This window comes from Homo sapiens, chromosome 7 (genome assembly GCF_000001405.40).
Source record: "Homo sapiens chromosome 7, GRCh38.p14 Primary Assembly".
Lineage (NCBI taxonomy): Eukaryota > Metazoa > Chordata > Mammalia > Primates > Hominidae > Homo > Homo sapiens.
The window spans coordinates 35,247,950-35,275,342 of NC_000007.14; the positions used below are offsets into that span (position 1 = coordinate 35,247,950).

Here is a 27,393-nt window from a genome sequence, read left to right on the forward strand (position 1 = left end):
ATAACAGTAAAGGTTTGCATGTGCTTTTTTAAGGATGGTACTCCTGGAAAAACTGTATTATTAGCAATGAATTTCACAAGAGTAAATATGCATGATCCCTAATATGTTAACTGAGGAATGTTTCATGTAAAAGAACCAGTTATTGAATTACATTCATCCACTAAAATTATAAAGGGAGAAAATAAGACTTGGCTTTATTTTTTTACTTAAAAATCTCTGAACCTTTATTGGTCAAAAACAACTGAATTTTACCTAAATGTTGTTTATTATATGCAGTTATAACCATATGATTAACAAATACTTACTGTAAGCAACGATTTTACTAAAATACACTCTTCTAAAAAGGATTTTAGGACAACCATTTCATCAGTAGGTTTATTCACTCTGGTTTTAAGCAGCAATTAGAGAGGATGTCTATATTTATATTTATACAAAATGGGTCCACATTTCTAATGAATACTCAAATTGAAATTTAAGAAAAACTTTGAAATGAATTACTGCCTAACGAAACATAAACTTAAAGACAGTGTTTTCTCTATGCACAAACTACCTTTCTCAGAGCCTAGCCCATGTTTTGTGTAGTCAATCCTGGAGTGTCCAGGCTTGGAATGCTCTCTTGCCAGAGCCCGCTGCTTTAAAAATACACTTGCTTAAAATTCACACAAGCCAGAAACATTCTGACAGATGCACTAACAGTTTTCTCAGTGAAAAATCTGGAGGCACGAACCTGGCTGGCAACGGCGGGTCGGCCTTGCCAGCCACCAGCCAGGAGGACCGGTGGTAGGCGTAGCGGTACCTCTTGTTGTCCACAGGGACGATGTCCATCAGGACTATGTACTTGGCCTCAGGATCCACCCCCGAAAAGGACACCCGGATGGTTGGAAACATCCTCCTGACAGAGAGAGAGAGAGAGAATGGGCCCTGTTTATGCTGCCTAATAAACTGACCTGAATTAGGAAGAGAGGAAGGGAGGGAGGGAAGGAGGGAAAGGGTCTGACTCCCCTCTCTATCCGGTCCACAAACCCCTCTTTTGTTTTGTTTAAAGCCTCAGAGAAGTGAATACAGAGACAGGGTTTTCTTCCAAGCCTAGATAATTTTAAGTGTCACCTTTAAGCAGGTGTTAATTGCTAGGTGAAAAGGTGGGGGTGGGGGTGGGGGTATGTGTTAACTCCAGAAGGTCTGTGATTAGGGAAAATCCCATGCATTTTAACGATCAAGCACATTAAGTGTCCCAGGACCCGAAGTCCCTGGAGCTGACCCAGTCACACAACTCACCCGCATCCCAGCCAGAAAACTCTGCTCTTGCAAAATAAAAGCCAAAAGCAGAGGTTTCTGGGAAGGATTTCTCAGATGCCCTGCAGGTATTTTCTGTAGTCCCAAGAGCTAGAGCCACCAAGTTTTGCCAGCCTCTGCCCCATCCCAACCTCCCTGCAGCCCTGCAGCTTCCTGCCTGGCCAAAGCCCGCCCGGCTCTGGCGCCAAGAGGCCCCGAGCAGTGCTCCTTCCTACAGGGAATTTTATCGTTTCAAATTTCATTCTTCCGCCCAGGTTTTAATTTTAGTTTTTAATGGGAGCTGGCAGCTTTTGCAAATTGAGGCTGATAAAAGGGAAGCTACTCACCTACCTAGAAGCACCCAGCAGCTCACCAGGCACCCAGGCACAAATTCCTCCTCCTTCCAGATCCCGACCCTCCACCCGCCAAACCTTCTCCAGCTCCAGGGAAAGCAGACCACACCCTTCGGGGTTAGTGTGTCTCCCTGGTCCCTGTGCCCTTCTCAACAAAGCCAGGGTGGGGCTTCCCATGACCAAATCCTGAGAACGCAAATGACTAGACATCCTGTAGCTCCTAATGCAAGCTGGTGGAAAGCAGCTGCCCTGGAGCCAAGCTGTCTCTCCGCTCCATGACCAGCCAGCTCTCATCTAGTTCCTGGAAGCACCCTCAACTACCCAGGGAGTGTCCTGACTCTCCACCCCCAACCCCCAACCCCCAAGTCCCAACTACCTGCCCGACTTGGTGATGATCATCTCGGTGCCCAGCTCATGGAATTTGTCCCAAAGCTCCTTGGTCTCCAGGCTGCAGGCAATTTTGGCCATTTCCTCACTGGGGATGATGGGGGTGGTGGGGATCAGTGGCTCAGTGCACAGAGAGGAGGAGGACGGGCTGCTGCCACTGCCTCCACCAAACTCCCCATGAGCATCCAGGCTGGTCAGCTCACCCAGGGGCTGGGCACAGGACGACTTCTCCACAAATTGCTCTGGAGGTAAAGAGAATTGTGAATGACAGCTGACACTGTTCAACAAGGAAAGATCTGGAAAGAACAGCATAACCAAATGGTCACTTGGATTTGACTCAGGAAAAGTTAAGCTCAGAAACTCCAGGCAGGCTGTAGGGATGACCCATCATCACTGTATAAAATTACCTGGGATTCCCACGGAGTAGCATGCCCAGTGTTTCCTGACCAAGCTAGTGAGTTCTAGAATGACTGCTTTTCACCACCAGTACTGCAGCCCACTTTGGGAAATAAAAATGTAAGAGTGGAAGAAGGGAAGGGTGATGATCATGAGGGATGAAAAGCAAATATTCCTATTGTCACCCCTCCCAAATTCTAGACTTCGTAGCTCATGGAACTGATGCCAGTCCTGCCTCTTTGACAACCAGGAGAACTTTTTCTCAACGGAGACAAAGGGAGTGAAGAGATCAGCACCTTCCTCACCTGGAGAGGAACTTTCCTTCCTTCCTGGAGCCCTCTCTCCATAAGAGAAAAGGAAAGGAGGATAGGAGGGTAAAAGAAAAATGGGGAATGTGGTTTACAAAAAATCAGTTACTTCACCTCTGTGCCTGACTTTCAGTTTTCTAGGCTTTATGATGAGAGTTAGAACATTTTTATAATATTCTTCCCAGCCTGAGATCTTATGAAAGATGCTAGCATACAGCTTGCTAAATCACAGGAGCAGGTTCTGTGGGCCATTTTCAGAAGAGGCTTAGAACAATTACTTGAGGGGTGAGGTATAAAATTTTTCTTTCTCCCAGAAAGGTCCTAGAAGTGAGGACAACAACCTCAAATCCAGACCAGCAGTGTATTAAAGTGAGAAGAATGCTCTGCCATCCACCACCAGGTTGGAATACTGCTGCCTATGAACCAAACATTCTCCCCCACAGCTGATAAGGGCCTGGGACTACACCAGTCACTTTGATGGAATACAGGGAGACTTCTGTAATTGTCCCAATTATCTTCCATCCCTTAAAAAAGAAACTACTTGAATTTGCAATGTGAAGTTGATCTCTTAAGTGCCCTCAAGAAATCAAAGCCAGTTCTAAATGTATGTATGTACATGTACATGATGTGTGTGGGCATATGGGACACGCACAGATCATAAGGTGTTTTATTTCCTACACATCCGTACATGAAGAAAACAGGAAACAGAGTGGTTTTACTTTTACTTCTCATGCAATGATAATCCAACCCATGAAAATGTTTTAACTTAAGAATAATCAAATTAAATGCCATCCTGATTTTTTTCAGATTAACGAAAGGAAACCATACCATAACAAAATCTTATTTTCTACTAATATTTTCAGAAACACATTCACATAATGTCTTCGGAGGGAATTAAGAAGTAGTGTTAATGACTTTTTTTTCTGACAACTGAAAGAGGCAAACTCCCTAAGCCCCAGACTGACCAATGCATCAGGATGGGAAGTAGGAGAGGAAGAAAATGAAATAGAAATGCTTCAGCAGACTGAAGCTGTTCCTTTAAATAGACTTTGTATGTTTAAAAGGGCAATCCTGGGACACACTGGAATCCCCCTCCCCACTCTATAGTTTGCTTCAACAAAAGTCCCACATTCTCTCTTAACAGAACTTTTAGGTGTTTCTCTTGATAGAGTCCTTGGCTTGCAGTCACCTCTGTTGAACTGGCCAGTGTAAGCGACAAGAACGCCTGCTAGTTCTTTCAGAGCCCATCTCAAAAGCCAGGAGAGGGACATGCATTTTATACTAGTGCCTATATGTGTGTGTGGGCATGGGGGTAGGGTTGGAGTTGTGAGCTGGGCATGGCTTTAAAGTTCAAGATTTAGAATTTTCGATATAAGGTGGCTTTTCTCAGAAAAATAAAGAGAGAAGGAAGCAATGTTGAAATGACAGTGCAGCTGGGGCTGGCATGTTTCCCAATTTGCTGTCTACACTTCTGTCGGGAATCCTCTTTTCCTGCTATGTAACAAGCTGAGATGTTTACAAAGAATTCAGGGGCCCCTAAACAGCAATGTATAATGTTGAGAAGTCGCACAATATAACTTTGAAATTGTTAGTTATATTTTTCTAAACAATTGGATTTTGTTTGATTGATTGTCTCCATTCTTTGGCAGGTTTAGATTTAGATGGGAGGTGGGTGGGAAGAACCAGGGGAAGGGGGTGAAAACTTAGAGGACAGATTTTTTTTTTTTTTTGACATTCTGTTTTCTACAGATCTACTAGTTTCTTTTTCCTTGGTTTCAAGTAGCTACAGGAATTTTACTTCTCTCATCTTTAAGCCCAAACACCTTATTTTTGATCTCTAACACTTCCTTTTTTTCATGTTATCATTATTTTGGATGTGATATGTTAAGTGTGGGAAGGACAGAGAGAAGAAAGGAAAAATTGGGGAGGGTTAAAAAAGAAAAATTAACTTAAGTTTGCTATCTGATTTTCACATTGTAGTGATACCAGACGATCAGGCTGTGTAACAATTATTTCCTGGGGATCCACGAGGCAATGATGAGAACACTTCTTTTTCCCTCAGTTGTAAAGAGATTCTTAAATATTTATCTTGGGGTGGTTCTTTTCCATGTAATTCACTAGTGTTAAGAAGAACATAATCCCTGTTCTCCCTTTACTCCTAGCCTAGTGTCTTCTATAAATGGTAAAGGTTGTTAAACAAACAACATAACTAAAAGTAGAGGAATTTGAGAAATGGTTACTGGTTAGTGTTTTTGCCAACCTCAACTGAAAATGACGACAGTTATAAAATGATGTCTTGGTGATAAGTCTAGAGCTTCAGTGAATAAAATGGTTCGTGTAGGGAGAACTGGCTTATTCTGCTTTACAGTGGTTTCAAAGAGCTTGCTCTGTTTTGTCTATTCAAGTCAGAGGAAAACCAAAATTAAACTGGTTTCTTATGAAGTCCTTTAGCGTCTCCGTTTCAAACGCACAAGCAGGTGTTACATGCACAGTAAATCCTGTTGAGCCTTAAAAGGGGTTTTATTATTATTTTTCCATGAATGTTTTTAACCCAACAAACATACACACACACCATATGTCTGATCTGATATATGGATTCTAGACAACTTAGGAGACCGACGGGCCCAGATATAAGATGCACATTCACAGCATTCAACAGACTGAAGCCTCCAAAGAAAACTTGGACCCAAAAGAAAAAGATCTCCCACCCGCGATGTATGGCTCATGGCTTGAGCATCAGACGTTGCTGCGAGCCGCCTGCAGCCAGGGGCACAGACGGATGCGCAGCATCCCCAGTCCTCGGCGGACAGCCGGGTAGCCCAACTTACCCAGGGGTTTGATTGTGTTCTCCGTCGCCTCCTTCTCCTTAGAGCCGCCGCTCGACATGAGCGCGGCAATGGAGAAGGCGTTGGCCCGAGAGGAGAGTTGGGGCTTGGGGGACGCCGTGAACTCCATGGTCCCCAGCACGCGGTCCTGGCCAGGGACGGGGTCGTCCGAACTGCCGTCCAGATTCCCCAAGGGAGACAAAGACCCGAAACACAGCTCAAAGTTTCCGAGAGCAGTCACAGCGGGGCCAGGGACTCCAGAAGTGTCAGCTCCAACGACTCCAGAGCTGCACACTGGCCTCTATTCCCCACCGCAAAGCCCCAGAGCCGCAGAGACTTCGAAGGCAGCCGGAGAGGAGAGGGCCCACCGAGCACTACGGCGGGTGCGCACGCCCCGGGGCGCTCGGCAGGACGACAGTCTGCACAGCCCGAAGGCGGAAACGAGCATCAACTGCACAAAGTCCTGGGGTCCTGGAGCATCCCCTCCGCGTCCTTCCTCCCTCTGGGGCTGGGGACAGCCGGGATGTCCCAGGCTGAGGTGGCCACCAGCCGAGCGCGGCTGCTAGGACGCTGGCGTGGGGAGCGCGGCGCGGAACTACGGACAGTGAGCCCTGGCGCTCGCTGCCCTGCGCCTTAATTTGCTGGCGGCGGCGATCCCGGAGGCCCGCAGCCAGTCAGCGCCGTCTCACGTCACCGCTTCCTGATTCCGCCGCCGGGGGCGGGGCCGCGGGCCGGGCGCGGAGGGCGCGCCCAGGGTGCGGCGCCCGCGTGGCCTGTCGCCCCGGCTGTTCGGTACCCCAGCACAGGTTCAGGGAAAAGGGTGCCACCACTAGGCTGACGCAGCAGCCATGGACATCCCCACCTGGTCTCACAGCCCCGGGCGGGAGGGCGGTGCGCGCTGTCGGGAGAGGACACATCACCGCGGCCTAACGCCCGAGATCCGGGCATGGCCCAGTTGGGGAAGCTATGACCAGACCAGTGGAAGCCTCGGGAGTTCTCGCTTTTTCCATTCTTTTTCTTACCTGCGCTCAAAGTTCCAAAAGAAAGTAGGGAAGCGCTCAGTAGAATCCGGCGCCTCTGAGCCGGCGCCAACTGGCCAGGTCCATACTCGGGGCAGATCCCAGGGCTGGGACTCTCATTCGATGGTCCCAAATTTGATCTCTTTGACAGTGGGGCTGAGCAAATGCAGCCCTGAAAAAGATAAGCTTAGCGAGAGCTGCGGGCATTTGGCAAAGGATGCTGCTCTCAGAACCGTGGCTTCTGCTCCTCACCAGTGCGTCTCTAGCCTGGGGCTCCTATTTTCCCTAGAGGGACCCTGGAAAATGGGACGGCTGCCGAAGAGAAGGCGAAGGTCAGGGCGCGGAGCTCTACGGTAACCACGCGACGCGTAGTGGGAGAGTGCGAACCTTATGGTAGCGCCCGGACTAAGCGGACACAGACCCCTCTGGTTTTACAAAGGCGGCTGTGACGAGGACTTCCCACGGCCTTGTTGGAGGGCGTCCTGTTAGCCCTGCTCAGCCTGAATAACTCAAATTCTCCGAATTCGCAGGGTAATCCGCTTCGCTTGGAGCCGTGTAAACTCAGGCTGACATACACACTCAAGCTGTATATGTAAATATTTGTTCTCTTTTCCAGCCAGTCGGTCTGGCTATTAGAAGCCTCTTCGTGGGTCTTAAAATTAAAATAATAATAATAATTTTTAAAACTCCAACTTTTCACTGCACCACCCCCTACTCCTGAAATAAATTTGTGAGGGAAAACGGCAAGTTAAAATAGCTGTCGAAAACGTTTGTGTGAACAAAATGATGACATCTGGAAGAGTCGTGATTTCAGCCTGTCTTGGTCATCGTGTGTCAATAGTTTTTAACAAGGTGCTGGATGAAGGTGACTAAAAAATGCATTCTCATATCACTATCGAAGTTCGAAGTGTCGATTTATAAATGTTTGAGGAAATTCGTAAAACCATAGACTTTGGTGCTGGAAGGAATTTACGCTGTCTTCTAGCCGGTCTCCATGTGCGTTTGAGAGAGAAAAACAGGGCCCGACGTGGCAGAGCGCGCATCTCCCCCCAGTCCACCTCAGCGGCTAGAAGCAGACGGAAGGGCAGGACTCACACTCCGGGCCCCGACCCTCATCAGCCCCTGGCCCTGCAGCTGTGGCTGGGCTGTTAGCTGAAGAGCCAGAGTAGAGTTAACGACGGCTGGCAAGCAGAGGGCTTTCAGATTAAACCGCAGGATGCATCTGAGGATCCGTTTCTATTCTTAAATTTTTTGCTGGTTTTGGACAACCCAGACCCAATCCAGACCCCTTTTTTGGTTATTAAAGTCCCCCGCCCCAACCTGTCTCTCCCCAGACACACCTTCTCAATGTAAGTGACATTTCTTTGTATTGAGTGGAAGGCACACACTGATTCCTTTCCTATATCAAATGCTTAGGATTTGTCCAGAAAGAAAGATTTCCCTCAAGAAGTGGGGATTTTGGAAGGTCGGGGAATGTTATGGTTAGTCTAGACCTTGATATATGCTTCAACAGGGTGTGGCAAACCTTGTTAGCTGAATTTAGTTTTCAAAAACTTGCCGCAAAATTATACTTCATAAAAAAACCCTTTTGATTGTTTTTCTACACAGAGGAAAACAACTGTGTCTTTTCTTAATTACCTCAATGATTTTGACTGGAATATGAATAATATCATGAGAGGAACATTTTCAGAAAATTTGATGAAGCAAGGGAAAAACTGAATTGCCACAAATCTGTTTCCTCCTCCTTTCCAAGTGCCTACGCGGCCTTAGCCCAGCTCTGTGTCTCTTGTGTGCAGGAAACCCCGACTGCGCATCCTACTACAGGTAAAATACTATACAAGAAAAGATGAGTGATCGTTAGGAGGCAGGCGGCAAACGAGAGGTATTGAAAAGGCCACTTTAAACAAATCCGGGTGACCCGTTTGGGGATCTCTAGGCTATGCATCTTGTTGGTGTTGAAACCTCGGCAGTAAAACATATGCTGCAACATTATTATCGGGGGCACACCGTCCCTCCTCCTAGATTTATTGCCTTTGCAAATCAATATGATGCCATAAAAACGGGGAACCGGTTCTGGGCAGAGAGGTGCTGTCGAAGGATGATTCAAAGCCTTCCCAAAGCGGAGAGTGGGGAGTTCTGAGGTCCCTTCAAAACGCCACTGATAGCGCAGGTTAACAGGTAAAACCACCCGGGGGTTGGAACAAAACAAGCACGTTAACACATCTCTCTAGGCCCTTCTCAGGCTGACTGCTGGCAGCGGAAGCTGCTGAAGTCTTAATGTTAACTTTAACACACGCATTAGCCCGGAGACTTTGTGTAGGTTACTAAACCTCTCAAAGCTTCAGTTTCTTCATCTGCGTTAGAATAGGGCCAATAGTTCATTCCTACCTGGAAGATAGCTCTTTGGATTAATGCCCTAATGTGTATAAAAAGCCTAACACTCACAATAAACCCAACATAAGTAAAGCATAATACAGAATTTTAATCATATTTAATTTTGAACTGCAAATTCGCGATTGGAGAAACATGTCTCTCGGGTGCTCATATATAATGTAGATAGTTTTGGAATGTACAAAGAGCATTGGGGCCACAGGAGGGTATTGGATTGTTATTTACATCCCGTTTAAACTTTGGCGCCTAAGAATGTAAAATTTTGTTATACATCTGAGTTTGTTTATATGGAATTTGATTATATGGAAGACTGGAAGATGTCTCCTTATATACACCACTCTTTCAAATTCTCATTTGTAGCTCCCGGAACTCAGAAGACAGTCGACCCCCAAAACTGTCCAGGAAGTAATCGGTTTCCGGCTTTTGGACAATGGTCCCTCGCTTAACGAATGCTAACGAATGCTCCCTTAGCTGGGAGCTGCAGGGACCGGTCCCGGCAGGTCTAACCAACCGTCCGCAGGCGCCGTGGTCGAGAGCAGAGCCGAGACGGCGGGGCAGGGTGCCAAGCGGAGGGCACAGCCTGGCAGCCACCGTTGGCGGCAGGAGAGAATGGGAGAAGGGAGACCCGCTTCTCAGCACAAGGGCATCTGTCTACTCCCGAACATGGCCGGAGATTCCTGTCCACAGCCTCCCTCCAGCTCTTTCTGGTAGACACTTTAAAAGCGACATTAACGGGCTTCGGTGCCTTTGGATTCCTAAATTAGGTTTACGGAAAAGGAAAGACTTCCCAAGAACAGTGAGAAGAGGAACTGCAGCCCCTCCAAGGCCGCTGCGGCGCGTTCCCGGGGCGCGCCGAGAGCAGCGCGCGGCTCCGTGCCCCGTGGGGAGCGCGCGGCGCGGCCTTGGATTTCACCGCGAGTCGGGAGGGCGGGTCTGAGCCTTGCCTCCCAGGATCCTTCCGACGAACACCCCGCGGGTTTTAGTTTATCGAGCCAAAGTGGTCCCGGAGAAGCGCTCCCTCGCAGCCAAGCTGCAAGAAGTGGCCGGGAACCTACAGGCCTCGGGCCGACCCAGGAAGCCTCCGCACCAGAAAGCTCGAGGAGCCCTTACCCAAGTCTTGCTCGAAGGGCAAAGCAAAGAGCCAGCACCCCTGAGTGTCACTGAAGTTCCTGGATGGGGTGTGAGTGCGCGCGTTCCGTCCGAGACCTCAGTCTCGCCCAGCTATAGAGCCGATAAAGGGATGTCTTGTGGGCGTAAGGCGCTTCGCGCCCATCTCCAAGGCCGATGTGGTCAGGAGGTGAGGGGAAATGTCCTTCTGGCAGAAGCCCGCGGTGCTGCGACGTTGACCCGCCTGGCCTCAGGCTCAGGGCGGCGGGCAGCCCAGGGCACATGTAGTTTCAGCAGCCGCGCTACGTGGGCGGGGGACCCCAGGCCACCCCACGTGTCCGCCCTGGGCCTCCTCCGGGTCCCAAGGCGCGGCGCCTCCAGGCCTTGTAGCGTCTTCCCCGGGTCCCCGCGCGCCAGGCCCCGCAGCCTGCTCACAGGACAGCCCTCGGGGCTGCGACCCTCTCGCTCCTCCCCGCGGCCACTCGCTCCCCGTTCATCCCCCACGAGCTCACTACCGCAGGGACCGGCCCTCAGAGCCCCGGGCCTCCTCCCGGCAGTGGAAGAATCAGCGTGCTAACATTGTGTGCAAAACTCGCAGCGTGATCAAGAACTGCAAAAGAAAACAGAAAAGAAAAATCTCTTCTGATCCTGTGGGCTTGGAAGCCAGGCCTACTCTCCTCACACTCCTGCACCCTCCTTTCTCCTCCTTCCCCTCCTTCTCCTCCTCCACGCGTGCTCCCACCTTCCTTCTGCAACCTTCCTCTTGGGCAATCGCCGCCTTCCCAAGGGCCCGGCTGCTGACGTATACTATTTATTTTGTATATCATGATTTTTGTATGAATTTTGACTTTTAGAATTACTGCATTAAAATATATTTTTCTTGACAACTGAGTTTGTTGACATCTAAATTGTGGGTTCTCACCCCGGTCCCGGGCCTGTCAGGAAAGTTAAGAATTTCATCGAAATTGCACAGATCATAAGCAGTAGAACCGGGCTTCCAATGCAAATCTGTGGCTTCGAAAGCGTTGTTCCTACCGTTGCATCGCGCACGGGACTATTAACCTGGAACCCCAAGAGGGGGAGAAAAGCGGACAAGGGACACGTTTCCTGCTTCGAGATGAAGGTCTTGTTGGCTGGGTGCCCTGGCCTGCCCGGGCGGACGCGTGGGACCTGCGTGGATGGCGCACGCTGCAGCCAAACAGGCTGCCCGAGGGCTCTTCCTGAGCGCAGTTCCTCCGGTGTTTAAAAACAAACTCAAACTAAGTGAGAGTTTCTCTTTGGAATCGCTTCACTTGGGAAAATGATCCAGCCTTCCACCAGCAACTGTGCACTGTCCCCTCTGGTGACTGCTAGAGCATCCCCACACATCCTGCACTCACCTCTCACCTTCGCTTTCCGGGAGCCAGAGTCAGCTGTTTTTGTAAGGAGTTTTGAGAGATCAAGGTGGGGAAGACCCAGGCAGGAAGCAGCCCCGCAAGGTCTCTGCTGCTAGCTCCCACAGTAAGTCATTCCAGAAGCAGTTGATTGAACCTCATCTTACTCCCAACAGTGGCAAAATTCATACTGTAAGCACTTGGATGCCTATTCCCAAATGTCGACGTGCTCCAGACGACTTGAAACATGTCGTATGCAAGGAAACAAAGATGTATGCGTGTAATAAAAGATAACGAATGTAGAGGATTTGTTCAGTCATCCAGCATTACACAGCACCTACTCTGAGCTGGATACTGTGCTAGGCTCTGGGAGTAGAATAGAGTAGTGATCTGGACCCTAAAATTCCTGCATTGTGCAACTCACAGTCTGGTAGGAAACACTGATAATAAACATATAAACAAATACAAGAAGTACAAATTGTGATGAAGACTTAAGGAAAAATTCACATTTGTTGGTATTCATTCATCAGGCACTGGCTTGTTGGGAGTGGGGACAGAGTTGGACAATTTGCATATAATCCATGCCCCTCAAGTGTTCAAAGCCTAGCTGGGAGATGTATTTTAAAAAGTGTCCGTATAGCAATCATACATTACATTTCCCTCAATATTTTTGCTAAAGAACTCTTAGACTGTAGGGGTGTAATGGCTTAATGGAAATAAACAACTTGAATAAAAGTTGTGGAGGAAGATGTTGGGGTCTAGCACCAGGCTATGCTGCCTCTGTTTTTACATCTGTCAAATATGTTTGCTGATAGTCATATGTCCTTATATCAAAGAGTTTGTTGTGAAAATTAAATGAAACAATGTCTCCGTGTAAGGGCAGAGGACTTCACAGACACTACTGCCTGCCAGCCCTGGAACTGGGGAAAGCTCCCTTTTCGATTTAGGGATGATATAAATTCGATCTGATCAGGGAGGTGTGTTCAAGAGCCCCAGTGTCAACCCTGCGCTCAAGGAGTTTGAGAAGCAGCCTTCTCTGGGGTCTGTAGGTTGGTCTCAGAAGCTCTGCAGTGGGGGAAGAAAACCGTGTACCACTAAGTAGAAGAGCGGCTTTATGCAGATGCACAGACAGTGGGGCTGTTTTCTGTGAATGCCCTGGCTAGAACTGCTGGAGGCCCACAACAGGCCTCAGGGCTGGATTTTCCTTCTTTAACTCATGTACTTTGAGGGTGTCTGCGTACATTTCAAGCCCTGATGCCAGCTTTTCAGTGCATTACAGAGAGCATTGAGCCACGCTTAGCATGTGCCAGGCACTGCACTAGAGGCTTTCCATGAAATATATGATGATGCTGATAATAATATAAGTCGGGTACCATTATTGTGTACATTTTTAAATTGCAGAAAATGAAGCTCAGAAGGCTAAGGAACTCACTTGCTCAAATCAGGGTGGAGCGGGAAGCGACCCTGGTCTATGTGACCCAACCCTGTTCACTTCTCAATCTTCACCTCCATTTCTATCTTAACCTCAATTAATCTTATTCTCGGTTTCTAGCACTAACTTGGTCAGATCTCTGTTCTAGAAGAAGCTGTTCGGAGGAGAGGGCTGGATTTTCTTGGTGAGTTTGTAAATAATATTAGCAGCCCCAGAGCCCAGAAACATGTGCATTTCTTTGTTGTCGGCCCATAGGGACTCTGGGCTTTAGAAGAACACAGGCAGCTGTGACCCGCAAGTCCAGCCCTTCACTCTCCAGGCGAGCAAAGGGGAAGAAGAAGGCGGGCCAAGTAAAGGTCTTTCTGCCGCACGTGGACAACGGGCCCGGGCGGCCTTTGTAATGTTATTTTTTCTTTTCTGAAGATAATTACCTAGTATTCTGCAGGTTCCTCTGGTGCAACAGAGACTGCCGCGGGGCGGGGGAGAAGGTGGTGAGGGGGGTCGCGCATCGCTCAGTGCAGGTCTGTGCTTTCACTTGGCCTGCGCTCAGGTCAGTGCGCCCCTTACCGGAGCACCCATGGCCTCCCGCGTTACCCCAAATTTTGTAGGCAGACTGTCAGAGTTCGAAGCCAGCTGTGTCCTCTGCGGGCCGTGTGACCCTAGGCTATCTGGGCTGCTCGGAGCCTTAGTTTCCCTAGTTGTGAAGAGGGAGGGTGTGACCATGGCCCGGAGCTCTCCGAAAGGCTGTGCGGATTGCTCGGTGGCGGGATGTGGAGCGCGTCTTCTATGATGCCAGGTGCTGGCCAAGCGCTCGATGCAGGCTGCTCCAGTTAGGTCGATGCGATGGCGGGAAGCACTTTCCTCTGCAATGGAGAGACGCCGACACCCCGAGCCCGAAGGCTTGCAAGGCGCGCTCTCGCCACTGGGGTCGGGGATCCGTGGGTTCTCTATCCCGCTTACCCACTCCATCCTTAGCAGCTGTCGTCGGTCCCAGACCTCTACCTTGGAGAGACCAAGGCGGCCCAGAGCCCAGGAGACTACTGCGCGGTACGCCAGGATCCAGAAGTGGATTCTGACTTCTAAAGACCCCTCCCAAGCCAACGCTATCAGGGTCCCTGCAAGCGGTTGACTGTGGCGGAGGCAGAACCAAAACCTTTGCTCTGCCCGCGGCGCTCCAGCCTCTCACCCAGGACAGTGCTCTGGGCTCCAGCCGCTGCAGTGGGGTCGGGACACAGACGCCGAGTTAGAAGCCCCGCCGCTGCAGGTCCCTGCTTGGTCGGCGCGGTGACGGTGTCGCTGGCGGCGGCGGGGGCCTTCCTTTGGCTGCCCGGCCATTTAATCAGAGCTATTATCAGACAGGGCTTGCAGGATGGCGCCGGCCGAGCTTTACCCCCATTAGCACAGGGCAGGCTGGGGGCTGGGTCCTGAGGCCACCGCCGGTCCCGGCCAGCTGCAGCTTTTCTGGGGAGCTATGAGAAAGGCAGGCCTGGTGGCTCCGGCCTTCTCTACCCGGCCACTCTCAGGCTGACGAGTTATTAGAATTTTATTTTCTAGCTTCCCATCTGACCCTGACCAACTTCTGTGCCATTGGAGCAAATCACTGAACTTGTCTGAATCTCGGTTTCCTCATCTGTAAAATTGGTCCAGATAGATACATAACTCGAGGTTGTAGACATTAAATAAGATGAGGCATCTGAAGTGTAATGCAGGGACCTGGCGCGCTAAATGGTGTTATTACTACCAACGCACTAGAATTGTATCTGCTTTTTTTTTTAAGTCCCCCTTTTTCATTAAAAAGGAAGGGAAGAGAAAGACCACGGTCAAATGTTTCAAAGAGGTCCAGTGGTTAAGGATTTGCTGGTTTTCCCCGCAACTGACCGGGTTCAAGTTTCACCCCCAGCATCCACTACCTATGTGACTTTGGGCAAGGCATTTCAAAGGATGAGCACTAGAACTTCATTGGACCGTCATGCACGATTCACAGCGGTGCCAGTAGAACAGTAGAATGCTGAGCACAGATTGGGCTCTCCATGTGTGTTATTAGCAAAACGTTTATGCAAACCACAAACATCAGATTTTTTTTTTTTTTTAGATGGTGTCTCACCTTGTCGCCCAGGCTGGAGTGCAGTGGCACAATGTCGGCTCACTACCACCTCTGCCTCCCGGGTTCAAGTTATTCTCCTGTAGCTGGGATTACAGGCGCACACCACCACGCCCGCCTAATTTCTCGTACTTTTGATACAGACGGTGTTTCACCTAGTTGGCCAGGTGGTCTCCAACTCATGACCTCAGGTGATCCACCCACCTCAGCCTCCCAAAGTGCTGGGATTACAGGCATGAGCCACTGCTCCAGGCCAACATCAGACTTTTAAAAGATCTACAAGCAGGCAACTTGTCTCCTAATCCTAAAGGATATTTATGTCAGGAAGGGGAGATCATCCAGGTTTAGGCTTAGAGGAAAGGGGGTGCGATTCATAACAGCATCTTCTGGTCCCCATTTTTTTCTTTGCATTTCCAGCGCAATGCCCTATTGATGCCCCACTTAAAGATAAAAGCTCAGCATCAAAATCAGTCACTATTGTTTTCAGATGTCTGGAAAAAAAGAAAGAAGCACTCACAGCAACTCCAGTATTGTCAGCATAGCTTCTAATCAGTAAAGTGTAATTAGCAAAGCAGGGCTAATTATTAAAGTGACCTTCTAAGTAGTGAATGTTTGTGAATGGTCGTTAAGTGGGATGTGCTGGGCACAGGGCCCAACCCTATGAACTGCCTGGGGATTCTTATCATGCTCAGCTTGAGCCAGGACTGGCTCCAGCTCTCCAGTGTCCCTGAAAGCCTAGCCCTGTTTTTGGATTGACTCTCTCCTTCTGACATGTAAAGCAAGTGACTTATAATAATAAGAGCTTGTATGTGTCAGGAAGTAGCCTAAGCAACTTACTTGGATTATGTCATCTGATGCTCCTCATTTTACGGATAAAGAAATTAAGCACAGAGATGTCATGTAACTTACTGTAAATTACACAGCAAATATGTGGTGGAGCACAGACTGAAACTAATGTCTGCCTTTCTCCCAAGGTTCTTATGTTCCTACCCCCCAGCTCTATTAGCCCCTACTCTTCTGCACCCTGAAAATACTTTGACACTGATGGCAACTCAACTACTTGGGAGGAAAACAGACAGAAAACCTCAGAACATTCCTCTGCATCTAACGAGGCACCTAGGGGTGGAGGATACCATACCTGGTAGGGGTCTGAGTACATTTGCTAATCAGCATGACTTCTTGTCATTTACCTTTGGGTCACTTCTTATGTTGTATAACTGTTAAATATATCCTATAACTAACATCTGGTGAGACCTAATGTGTGTCAAAGCCTGTAGGAGGGGTTTTTATATACATCGTTTCATTTTCAAATAAATTTCATAAATTTTATTTTATAATAAATACTGTCTGCTTTGCAAGGATGATCCAATGAGCCACACTTTTGTAAGTATTTAGAACAGAATTTATTAGAAATGACTATTGTTTATTCTTAAAATTCTGAAGAAATACATTTCTTAGGACAGTGATTTTTCAATGCATGATTCAAGGTCTATCTGAATCCAATGCACCTAAGAATTGTGTGTATTTCTTGGCTCCACCCAGAGACCCTGGACTGTGGGCCCTAGGAGTTGAAGTGAAGAGTGGGGGGAATTTACATTTTAACCAAGCACCCCTAAGAGGCTGCTGAACTCTGGCCGGGCGTGGTGGCTCACACCTGTAATCCCAGCACTTTGGGAGGCTAAGGTGGGCGGATCGTCTGAGGTCAGGGGTTCAAGACCAGCCTGACCGATATGGTGAAACCCCGCCTCTACTAAAAATACACAAAAATTAGCCGGGCATGGTAGTGAGCACCTGTAGCCCCAGCTACTCAGGAGGCTGAGGCAGGAGAATTGCTTGAACCCAGGAGGCGGGGGCTGCAGTGAGCCGAGATTGTGCCACTGCACTCCAGCCTAGGTGACAGAGCAAGACTCCATCTCAAAAAAAAAAAAAAAAAAAAAAGAGGCTGCTGAACTCTGAGTCTTCCTTATGGCACTACATTCTTTCTATTGGCCACATTTAGTTTTTTACTTGACTAGAGAAAAAGAAACAGGAACTCCCCATCTCTGCTGAGAAGCTTTTGGGATGACACAGAAAATACCACATTGCAATTTGTAACTTTCATCATTTCTTATCACACCCTTAACCCAAAAAGGTGGCTTCTGGTTCTGATAAGTCTGTTGTTTCTCTCAAGAATGGATACTGCAGGAGCATGCATGACTGCAGAAAAGCTACCAACAACACCCCACTCCCTGCCCCCATATACACTCTACATAGAGGGCACCGTTGAGGTGACTCTCCTTAGCTTGTCTTGCTACAGAGCAAGGACCAAGACATTTCAGAATGTTTGAAAAGACCAGAAGGGTCAGTAAAATCCACCCCACCTCTCATCTTATGGATGAAGAAATTGCAAATTGAAGCCTAGGTCAGGAAGTAACAAGTCCAGAGCCACACGGTTGGTCAGGTCTTTGAATCCTGACTTCAAATTAATGCTTGACATAAGCCCTTCTACATGAACACTCCTTGGGAAAAGCAGAAAGCTCTCTCGTTTTCTACCTCTGGTTTCCTAATTTGTGCAACTATACCTCTCCTGTGTGGTGGCTCACACATATTGGGCTTTTTAGTGATGATCGTGAAGATGGAAAAACTGCTCTGAGAACTGAAACTGAATTTCGCACCATGGTTTTATTTGGCCTTGAGCAGGGAAAAAAATTTGGAGTCTTGTCCTTGCTTGCCTTCAAGGATTCAACTTCTGGTGGAGCTTCTTCTCATCTGGGTTGCACCACAGTCATCTTTGTATTTTAAGTTTGACAGAACTCCACCTGGAATTCACTCTTTTGGAGGGGAGAAAATGGGGCAACACTTACATATGATCAGATAAAATGTAAGTATTTGAAACAAAACTTTTAAGGAAGAGGAGTTAGTTGAGATAATGTGTACATCAATTAGGATTCTATACTGTGAATAGCGAGAAATTATTTTCAATCTGGTTTGAATAACACAATAAATTTGTTGGCCCATCCACTTAGTTTAAAAATAGCTTCAGGTGAAATGTGATCCAAGGATCAAAGGAAATCCTCTCTATTTCTCATCTCTGGCATCTTGGAGTTGGTGCTATTTTTAGTCAGACTTCTCTCTGGGGTCACAAGATGGCTTCAGCAGGTCTCATGGCCATATTTCTCCTTGTTTGTACCCATTAGAAAATAGTTTCTCTCTCACAGAAGCACATGCAGAGAAAGGAGTCCAAGAAATATATCTTTACATCTTATTGACCCTGATTTGGGATCAAATCAAATCAGTGCCTGCACCTAGAATCTGGGGCAGGGGAAGTCCTCCAAAACCACAGGACTGAGACCAGACAAGGGCTGAATTCATTTAGGAGAAATGAGATCACTGTTGACAAGAGAAGGGACAGTGGCCTTGGGGAGACCATCGATAGTGGTTCACCAGCATGTGCAAGGGAGGTGGGAAAGGCAGGAAGGAATATCTTTATTCACCAGCATAATTTAAAAAAGACTGGAGTAACAGACACAATGCAAATCCCCACAATGACCAAAAATGGCAGTCAGTGAGGATTTGTCACAGCAGATTCTGTCCTCCAAACCTTATTTCTTTCCGGAACAATTTAAATGGCCCTTTGCTAGCAGGAGAGAAATTAGGAGGCTGAGAATTAAAGCAAGGTGGGGGAAGTGGTAGGAAGAGAAAAAGTCTGTGCCGAAAAGGGATCTCAGAGATAATGTAGTAAGGGTGGGGGGGGGGGGCGGGGTGGGGGGTGCACAGTGGCTCACACCTGTAATACCAGCACTGTGGGAGGCCCAGGTGGGTGGATCACCTGAGGCCTGGAGTTTGAGACCAGCCTGGCCAACATGGTGAAACCCCATCTCTACTAAAAATACAAAAATTAGCAAGGTGTGGTGGTGCGTGCATGTAATCCCAGCTACTCAGGAGGCTGAGGCAGGACAATCGCTTGAACCTGGGAGGCAGAGGCTGCAGTGAGCTGAGACCATGCCACTGTACTCCAGCTTGGGTGACTCAACGAGACTCCATCTCAATAAATAAATAAATAAGAGATAATCTAATGTCAAACTCGTTTTAGAAGAATCTGAGGCTCTGGAATGTGACAACCATATCCAAGATTGAGAAACTTTGCATAAAAATATTTTTTTTTCTTTTCAGGAAACCTGGATTGTATTTCTCAAATGAACCTTTGCAGAACATGGGTTGCTTCAGATGTTGCCTGTTTCTGTACCGCTCAAGAGCTAAAAATGATTTTTACATTCTCTAATGGTTAGGAAAAGAATCCAAAGAAGACTAATATTTTGTGACATATAATAATTATACAAAATTCAAACATCAGTGTCCAAAAATAAAATTTTATGGGAGGGATTGGCAAACCTTTTCTTTAAAGGGCCGGATAGTAAATATTTAGGTTTTGCAAGCCATATGATTTCTGTCACTATTGTCTGCCTCTGTCTTTGTAACATAAAAGCAGCCATAGACAATATGTAAACAAATGAATATAGCTGTGTTCTGATAAAATTTAATTTGTCACATAGAAATGTAAATTTCATATAACATTCAAATATTACAAGGTATTAGTCTTCTTTTGATGTTTTTTCAGCCATTTAAAAATGCAACAACATTTCTTGGCTAGTAACCTGCACAAAAACAGGTGAGTGGCCAGACTTGGCCTGCATGGGCCATGCTTTGCAGACTCCTGTTGTATTGCCTGCCTTGGCAACACAGTGGCAAAGCTGAGTAGCTGTGACAGAGACCACATGGCCTACAAAGCCTGAAATATTTAAATATTTACTAGTTGGCCTTTTACAGAAAATGTTTGCTGACTCTGACTCTAGAAGGGTTCTTTTAAACTGTAATTTACATGCAAAGCACCTGGGGATCTTGTTAAAATGTAGACTAAGTCTGGGTCAGTCCAGAGATTCTGCATTTCAACAAGTTCTCAGGTGATGTTGAGTTATTGGTCCATGGACCACATTTGGAGGATTTTTCATTTACTCTTCTAATATCCTGTTGTAAAATGCCTCAGAGGATCTCCTCTCTGATCATTCCCCCACTTGAATTAGAATCATTTTTGCAGGGGGATGAGAATCTGCATGTGAAATAAGTTCTCCTCTGATTCTTTTGAGAACCATTGATCCATTGATCTAGATTTTGTTTTTGTTGTTGTTGTTGTTTGTTGTTTGTTTTTGAGATGGAGTTTTGCTCTGTCACCCAGGCTGGAGTGCAGTGGCACGATCTCGGCTCACTGCAACCTCCACCTCCCGGGTTCAAGGGATTCTCCTGCCTCAGTCTCCTGCGTAGCTGGGATTACAGGCTTGCGCCAGCACGCCCGGCTAATTTTTGTATTTTTTTAGTAGAGACAGGGTTTCACCATGTTGGTCAGGCTGGTCTCAAACTTCTGACCTTATGATCCACCTGTCTTGGCCTCCCAAAGTGCTGGGATTACAGGCGTGAGCCACCACGCCCGGCTGATCTAGATGCTTTAACAGAGATTCAATGACAAATTCATGGAGGACTGGGTATTATTAGCCAGACAGTTAACCTTGGTGCTGATGGGATTCAGGTAACTTTTATTTGACAAAGAATTAACAGCATATTTTAAAAAGTCATTAATCATCTAATTATTATGGCTGAAGGATTATTTATTTTTTGGTTAATCTCCAGAGAATGAATGCTGCTTATAGCATCTTGACTTTACATGAAGGCAGTGACTTAGGCATGCTGATTGCAAGCAAATTGATGCCGTCTTTCCCATTTGAATTGTGCATTTAGGACCTGCCAGATCTACTCATGTACAGATAGGTTTAAAGAGGACAGATTGGGTTTTATATCCTCCATGTAGTAGCAAACCAATCCTTTCTATAAAACTCCATTAAGCCCTTTTACTGTTTCATTTCTTTTTCCTTCCTCCCCCCATTGTGTCCTTTCTTTGATGGACAATTATCTCAGATTTTTTATCTTTATTTCCAACTGTGGAAAACTTCTGAAGAATTAACCTTTCAAAAACATGCAACTCTTATATTAGAACTAAGAAAGAGAGGAATGAAGGGCTGTTAGTGAACATGGGGCTTGGGGCTTACAGAATGTGAATCAAAACTTTGGTTTCAGTTACAGCAAGGAGCAGACAGCCTGAGAGCCTGGAAAGATGGAGAATTGAGCAGCTGTGGAAATAGAACACTCATGTCCCTAATTGAGTGGGGAATCTGCACTGTGACGTGTGATGTGTCAGACACCCTGTTCAAACCACATTCGTGACGCTGTGGATCACATGACTGGAAAAGCACTACCCGTTTTCTTTTTTTTATGCTTGTTAATGACAGAAAGCCAGCTCTCTCATTGATCTGTGCACTTGATTGTGTAAGCCAGGACCATAAGGACCATCTGCTTCTTACACGACAGAAGGTGAGTGGAGGGAAACATTTTATTTAGAGGTTACATGGAAGTTCAGGGCATGTTGAGGAATTACCAATCTACCATTATTCTAGGTTCTAGTTGCTTCAGATGAGGTCTTCATAGGCATTTTTATTTTCATTTAAATTAGCAGAATTTATTTGGAAAAGAAAAAGTCAAGTAGATGGAATTTAATGATGACAGTCTTTCTTTGGAAAGGGAGGACTATCTTGAATGTTCTCAAATAGTTGGTGATAGCAAAAAAAAGTAATATTCTCCTACACACACACACCCCTATCTTGTCAGGGCTGGGAATGGCGAGTACAGAGAGCCTTCTATTCTTCACTTGATGCTAACCACAATGCAAAATGATTAGCCTTCTAACTTAAAAGGCCTCAGAGTAAAAGAAACCTGAAAATGAAAATCCCCTTAGACCTCTTAGAATAAATTATGTGGATTTGCTAAGTACACAGACTGGCCCTCTTAAAAGGGAGATAACCAGTTTAACTGTTGCTTTGGAAAGATAATCCAGGAGACCAATTATGAGTCTTATTTTACATTAGTGATTTTACACCAATAAATAGAACCACCTTGAGTCCTTTGTGGAGTGTTGTTTTAAAACAAAAACCTAACAAATTTGAAATCTGTTTACATTTAAAAGATAAAGTAGCAAAGTGTAGTGAAGAGGCTGCCAGACTAGGAGTCAGAAAACTGGGATTCTCCTGGCTCCTTCTGAGTGACCTGAGTAGGTCTGGGAGCCTTAGTCTTTTTCATCTGTAAGAGGCAGAGAAAAACATCTGCATAGCCTTCCTCATGGTATTTTAAAAATTAATTGTAGTTAAAGTTCATGGCACTTTTGTGACGCACAAATGAAATAACAGATATAAAGTTCCCCTTTGAAAATTACAGATGCTAACAAAGGATATTTTGGAAGGTTACAATAGGCATATAGAAACTTTAGTTAACAGAATTTGCATGACTATTTTGACATCAAAGCATGTTTCATTTCTCTTTCTCCTACTAGCCTCAGCTTTCTTGATATAAAAAATTATATATAATGTCAAAAAGGCTTAGAGATGGATCTTTCTTGATGACTAATTATAGGTTCTGTAGTTGCCAGCCTCCAAGATAGCTCCAATGAACTCACTTCCTGGTATGACATCCTTGTGCAGCCTCCTCATCCCTACATTATACCAGGATTGGCTTGTGTGACCAAAACAATACAGTAGGGGTTGGTCGGGCGCGGTGGCTCACGCCTGTAATCCCAGCACTTTGGGAGGCCGAGGCGGGTGGATCACGAGGTCAGGAGATTGAGACCATCCTGGCTAACACAGTGAAACCCCGTCTCTACTATAAATACAAAAAATTAGTCGGGTGTGGTGGCGAGCGCCTGTTGTCCCAGCTACTCGGGAGGCTGAGGCAGGAGAATGGCATGAACCCGGGAGGCGGAACTTGCAGTGAGCCAAGATTGCGCCACTGCGCTCCAGCCTGGGCGACAGAGCGAGACTCCATCTCAAAAAATAAATAGATAAATAAATAAATAAATACAGTAGAGATGATGGCATGTCACTTCCAGGATTAGGTTATAAAATACTGCAATATATATGTATATATATCTCCCTCCCTCTCTCATCTCTACCTCTGTTGGGAAGCAATCTGCCATATTATGAGCAGCTCTATGCAGAGGCCCACGTGGCTAGAAATGGAAGTCTCCTGCCAGTAACCTAGCTTAGAAGCAGATCGTCTAGCCCAAGTCAAGCTTCTAGATGATTTCAATCTTGCCAATCAGCTTGACTGCAACCTCATGAGAGATCCTGAGCTAGAACCAACCAGGCAAATTGTACCCAGGTTCCTGACCCTAAGACACAGTATGAAATAATAAATGTTTATTATTTTAAGCTGCTAAGTTTTGTTATAATTTGTTACACAGCAATAGATAACTTGTATAGGTTCTATCAGGGAAAGAAAATGGCAGAAATGCAGATGATAAATTCTTTTGACCAGAAAGAACTTGACCAAGAAAGCCTGTTGGGCATATATTTCTTTACTCATCAGTTTAGCTATGATAAGGATTTAGAGGCAAAATGTCAATATATAGTAGTTTAAACTAATGACATGTTTTGATGTTGCTATTGCCCCTGATGAATCATAGCACACAGCTGAGGCTACTGTGCAGCATGAGAAATGGAATTCACTGAGGAGCAACATATTTACATGTTTTAGCTATGTTCTAGTCAGGAAAACAGAGCTCATACAATAGCTCAATAGAGGGAATTTAACATGGGGATCCAGCCACAGAGACTGAAAAAGGCAAAAGCCAAATAGGGAATGGGGAGGCAACCCAGATTAGTAATACCAAGAAGCTTCTATCACTTCTATAACTGGAGAAATTAGGTGAGCCATGTGACAGGGACTGGAATGACAATGAAAGCTATGAGACTAGAGATGAATGCACAGAGAAGCAGCCACTGCTGGAGATGCTGTCCTAATTGGAGAGAGACGGAGAGAAATTCTTCTACAGGTGGCCTGATCTTCTGCCTGTCTCCACCATTGGTCAACTAACCAGAATCCGTTTATAAAGAGAACCTTGGAAATGTAACCTGCCAAATTTGCCCCCTTATGAAACAGAGCAGGAGAAGGGTGGGAAATGGATCAGAGGGCAAACAAATGAGCATCACCATCTGCCTCTTTTGCTACTCAGCATCTGTTCTCACATTCCTACCTACATTTATTTCCCAGGCATGCTTCCATCATTCATACCAATGATGACTCTTACCCATCCTTGAAAGGGAAACACAAAGCCCCATCAGTCATTTCAAAGTCCATGACTACTCATTTCAAAGTGTAGAATCACCAGGTGATATATTCTATAGTCATTCTAAGTAATGCAACCACCTCTCCCATATGCCTCCTGCAGTCAACCTCATTCTTTCTAAGCCTTTGATTAATTGGGCAATATTGCCATTGCCTTTGAATAAGTGTAGATCTATACCTCAGGACATCTCTTAAGCAAAGTAAACAACAGAATATACTGCTTAAATTTGTTTTTCCACTGAGAGTTCCCTTCTTCACTGTCTGTAAGGCCTCCTTAGAGTGGAACATTAATGTCTTAGCTGGAACTCACAGTTGGAAACAGCTGATCATGCAGATTTATATGTAGACCAGGGTCAAGCGTTTTCTTCCTTCAATGACTGGCCATAGGGAACTCTTCATGCAACCATAAAATGTACTAAAGAAGAAGTGGTGATTCACTGAAAAAGTGCCCAGGTACTCTAAGACACCTACCTGTTCAAGCATTTTACTTGAGCTTTCCAGACCTGTTCAAGTCCAAATCTATATATACCATTCCCACTTAATGGTGCACTACATTTGTGCCCTCCCCAATTTATGGCTTCATGGGATACACAACACTTCAGTTCAATGTGAGTGGCTCTGTAGCATAGTCATTTGTGTCCTATACTTAAGCATTCAGTCTCTTCCAATACCCATTAGCAAGTGAGAAGCTATTTTCAAAAGGAAAAATATATATATCAGCAGAATAGGACTATGGCTATGTTCCAAGATTTAGGATCTGTATAGGATCCTTCTATTGTGGCTTGCCAAAGGGCCACATAGCATCCTAATTTGCAACAGACACTTAAAGCATTATTTTCTCTGGAAGTTCAGAAGATCTGAATTGCAGAGCAGCTTACACTCCAGCTTGGACAAACTAAAGAGGCTTCTCAAAACTAGCAGTCTTACAAGTAACTCAGTAAAAGACTTGAAGCATCAAATTTAAATGTGGGACCTGCTGCCTTCAAGATGTAAATATGGCCACTAAGCATTTTTACTACCAAACAAGGTGAATGAACTTGTCTTTCATTTACACCAAAATGTTCTACTGTTTTTCACCAGCATGTTCCTGAACATCTGAAACTGGCAGGAATTATGAATTTTCATGGGATTTATCTTCCACCTGCTAGAATGTCTATGTCTTACTAAGGCAGCTAAGATACTTACACTTATTGCCCGCCAGGTCCAGTCAACTTGGTATTATCAATATCATGGGGCAGCATGATGTTCTCTGGAGTGTCAAAATGATCAGGGACCTAGTGGACAATATTATGATGGAGAGCAGGAGAGTTCTCATGGCCCTGAGGAAAGACAGTGAAGTTATACTCTTGCTCCTACCAAGTGAAAGCTAATTGTGTCTTGCTCTGATACCAAAACCAGACAAGGAAACTACAAAAAAAGAAAACTGCAGACTAATACTCCTGATGAACATAGATGTAATAATCTTCAACAAAATACTAGCAAACCAAAATCCAACAGCATATCAAAAAGATAATACACCATGATCAAATGGGATTCATACCAGGGATGTAAGGATGGTTCAATATATAAATCATAAACATGATTCAACAGAATGAAGGGGAAAAAATACAATCATCTTAACAGATGCAGAAAAAGCATTTGATAAAATTCAGCATCTCTTGGTAAAAACACTCAACAAATTAGACATAGAAAGAACCTACCTCAACATAATAAAGGCCATTTATAACATACTCACAGCCAACATCATACTAAATTGGCAAAATTCCTCCTAAATTGCAAGCATTCCTCCTAAGAACTGTAACAATACAAAGATGCCCATTTTCACCACTCTTATTTAACATAGTATTGGAAGTCTTAGCCAGAGCACTCAGGCAAGAGAAAGAAATAAAAGACATCCAAATTGGAAAAGAGGAAGTCAATTATCTGTTTGCTGATGATAGAATCTTATACCTAGAAAACTTATATTAGGCATCTTCAAAAGTTTTCTAGATATGATTTGATAAATGACTTCGATAAAGTTTCAGGATGCAAAATCAATGTACAAAAATTAGTAAGATTTCTGTACACAAATACTGATTAATACAAGTGATTGATGTAATAAAGAACTCAATCCCAGTTACAATAGCTACAAAAAATATCTAGGAATACAGTTAACCAAGGAGATGGAAGATCTCTATAAAGAGAACTACAAAACACTGATGAACAAAATTATAGATGACACAAACCAATGAAAAGACATTCCAAGAATGAATATTCTTCCAACCCATGATAAAACAATCATATTGCCAATAGAAATAGAAATCTAAATTCAATGCAATCCCTATTAAAATACCAATATAATTTTTCAGAGAAATAAAAAACAAATCATCCTAAGGTTAATATGGAACAAAAAAGCCAGAATAGCCAAAATAATCCTGAACAAAAAGAACACAGCTGGAAGCATAACATTACCTGACTTTAAAATATATTGCAGGGCCATAATAACCAAAAGCAGCATTGTATTGGTAAAAAAAAAAAAAAAAAAAAAAAAAAAAAAAAAAAAAAAGACATATTGGCCAATGGAACAGAATAGAGAACCCAGAAATAAATACACATATTTACAACCAATTGATCTTCGACAAAGTCATCATGAACATTCACTGGGAAAATGACATCTTCTACAATAAATGGTACTGGGAACACTGGATAATTGTATGCAGAAAAATGAAACTAGACCTGTCTCTCACCAATACAAAAATCAACTCAAGATGGATAAAGACTTAAATGTAATACCCAAAATTATAAAACTACTAGAAGCAAACATAGCGAAAACTCTTAAAGGCATTGGTCCAGGCAAATATTTTATCACTAAGACCTCAAAGCATAGGCAACACAACAAATAGACATTGAAACTATATTGAACTAAAATGCTCCTGCATAGCAAAAGAAACAATCAACAGAATGAAGACACAACATCCTGAATGGGAGAAAATACTTGCAAACTGCTCATCCAACAGGGGTAGTGTAGATGTATACACACATCTGGAATTACATTGTAATTAATACACCACTTTATTAATTTAAGGATAATCTCAATCCAAATGGAGTCATTCTGTCTCTGGCCTTTGCTGAAGCCAAAAAAATGATGGGTTAAAATGGGGATGTATAACGAATCACCATCTCTGCATCTATTAACTCTTTGATGTTGACATTAATCTCTGCAAGTCTTCCAGGTATGTACTATTACTT

The 27,393-nt window shown here is 45.1% G+C and overlaps 1 protein-coding gene across 2 annotated transcripts in view, besides 7 other annotated features; it reads right to left on the bottom strand.

The window, feature by feature from the left end:
* TBX20 (T-box transcription factor 20) overlaps positions 1-6,151 on the bottom strand; it is a 51,671-nt gene extending 45,520 nt beyond the window's left edge. For both annotated transcript variants that reach the window (NM_001077653.2, NM_001166220.1), the window contains exons 1-3: positions 5,545-6,151; positions 2,002-2,254; positions 728-892 (exon numbers count right to left, since the gene is read on the bottom strand). In NM_001077653.2, coding sequence (NP_001071121.1) covers positions 728-892; positions 2,002-2,254; positions 5,545-5,671 — 545 coding nt within the window. In that variant the 5' untranslated portion in view covers positions 5,672-6,151. The remainder of the gene's footprint in view (positions 1-727; positions 893-2,001; positions 2,255-5,544) is intronic.
* Positions 1,400-1,967: an enhancer, noted in NCBI's record as "H3K4me1 hESC enhancer chr7:35288961-35289528 (GRCh37/hg19 assembly coordinates)". NCBI's record gives its function as "activates a minimal SCP1, AML or CMV promoter by ChIP-STARR-seq in naive H9 embryonic stem cells {active_cell/tissue: H9 hESC(naive)}" and the evidence as "EXISTENCE:reporter gene assay evidence [ECO:0000049][PMID:30033119]".
* Positions 1,968-2,533: an enhancer, noted in NCBI's record as "H3K4me1 hESC enhancer chr7:35289529-35290094 (GRCh37/hg19 assembly coordinates)". NCBI's record gives its function as "activates a minimal SCP1, AML or CMV promoter by ChIP-STARR-seq in naive H9 embryonic stem cells {active_cell/tissue: H9 hESC(naive)}" and the evidence as "EXISTENCE:reporter gene assay evidence [ECO:0000049][PMID:30033119]".
* Positions 5,072-5,648: an enhancer, noted in NCBI's record as "H3K27ac-H3K4me1 hESC enhancer chr7:35292632-35293208 (GRCh37/hg19 assembly coordinates)". NCBI's record gives its function as "activates a minimal SCP1, AML or CMV promoter by ChIP-STARR-seq in primed H9 embryonic stem cells {active_cell/tissue: H9 hESC(primed)}" and the evidence as "EXISTENCE:reporter gene assay evidence [ECO:0000049][PMID:30033119]".
* Positions 8,523-9,334: an enhancer, noted in NCBI's record as "OCT4-NANOG-H3K4me1 hESC enhancer chr7:35296083-35296894 (GRCh37/hg19 assembly coordinates)". NCBI's record gives its function as "activates a minimal SCP1, AML or CMV promoter by ChIP-STARR-seq in primed H9 embryonic stem cells {active_cell/tissue: H9 hESC(primed)}" and the evidence as "EXISTENCE:reporter gene assay evidence [ECO:0000049][PMID:30033119]".
* Positions 9,335-10,146: an enhancer, noted in NCBI's record as "H3K4me1 hESC enhancer chr7:35296895-35297706 (GRCh37/hg19 assembly coordinates)". NCBI's record gives its function as "activates a minimal SCP1, AML or CMV promoter by ChIP-STARR-seq in primed H9 embryonic stem cells {active_cell/tissue: H9 hESC(primed)}" and the evidence as "EXISTENCE:reporter gene assay evidence [ECO:0000049][PMID:30033119]".
* Positions 10,147-10,958: an enhancer, noted in NCBI's record as "H3K4me1 hESC enhancer chr7:35297707-35298518 (GRCh37/hg19 assembly coordinates)". NCBI's record gives its function as "activates a minimal SCP1, AML or CMV promoter by ChIP-STARR-seq in naive H9 embryonic stem cells {active_cell/tissue: H9 hESC(naive)}" and the evidence as "EXISTENCE:reporter gene assay evidence [ECO:0000049][PMID:30033119]".
* Positions 10,959-11,769: an enhancer, noted in NCBI's record as "H3K4me1 hESC enhancer chr7:35298519-35299329 (GRCh37/hg19 assembly coordinates)". NCBI's record gives its function as "activates a minimal SCP1, AML or CMV promoter by ChIP-STARR-seq in naive H9 embryonic stem cells {active_cell/tissue: H9 hESC(naive)}" and the evidence as "EXISTENCE:reporter gene assay evidence [ECO:0000049][PMID:30033119]".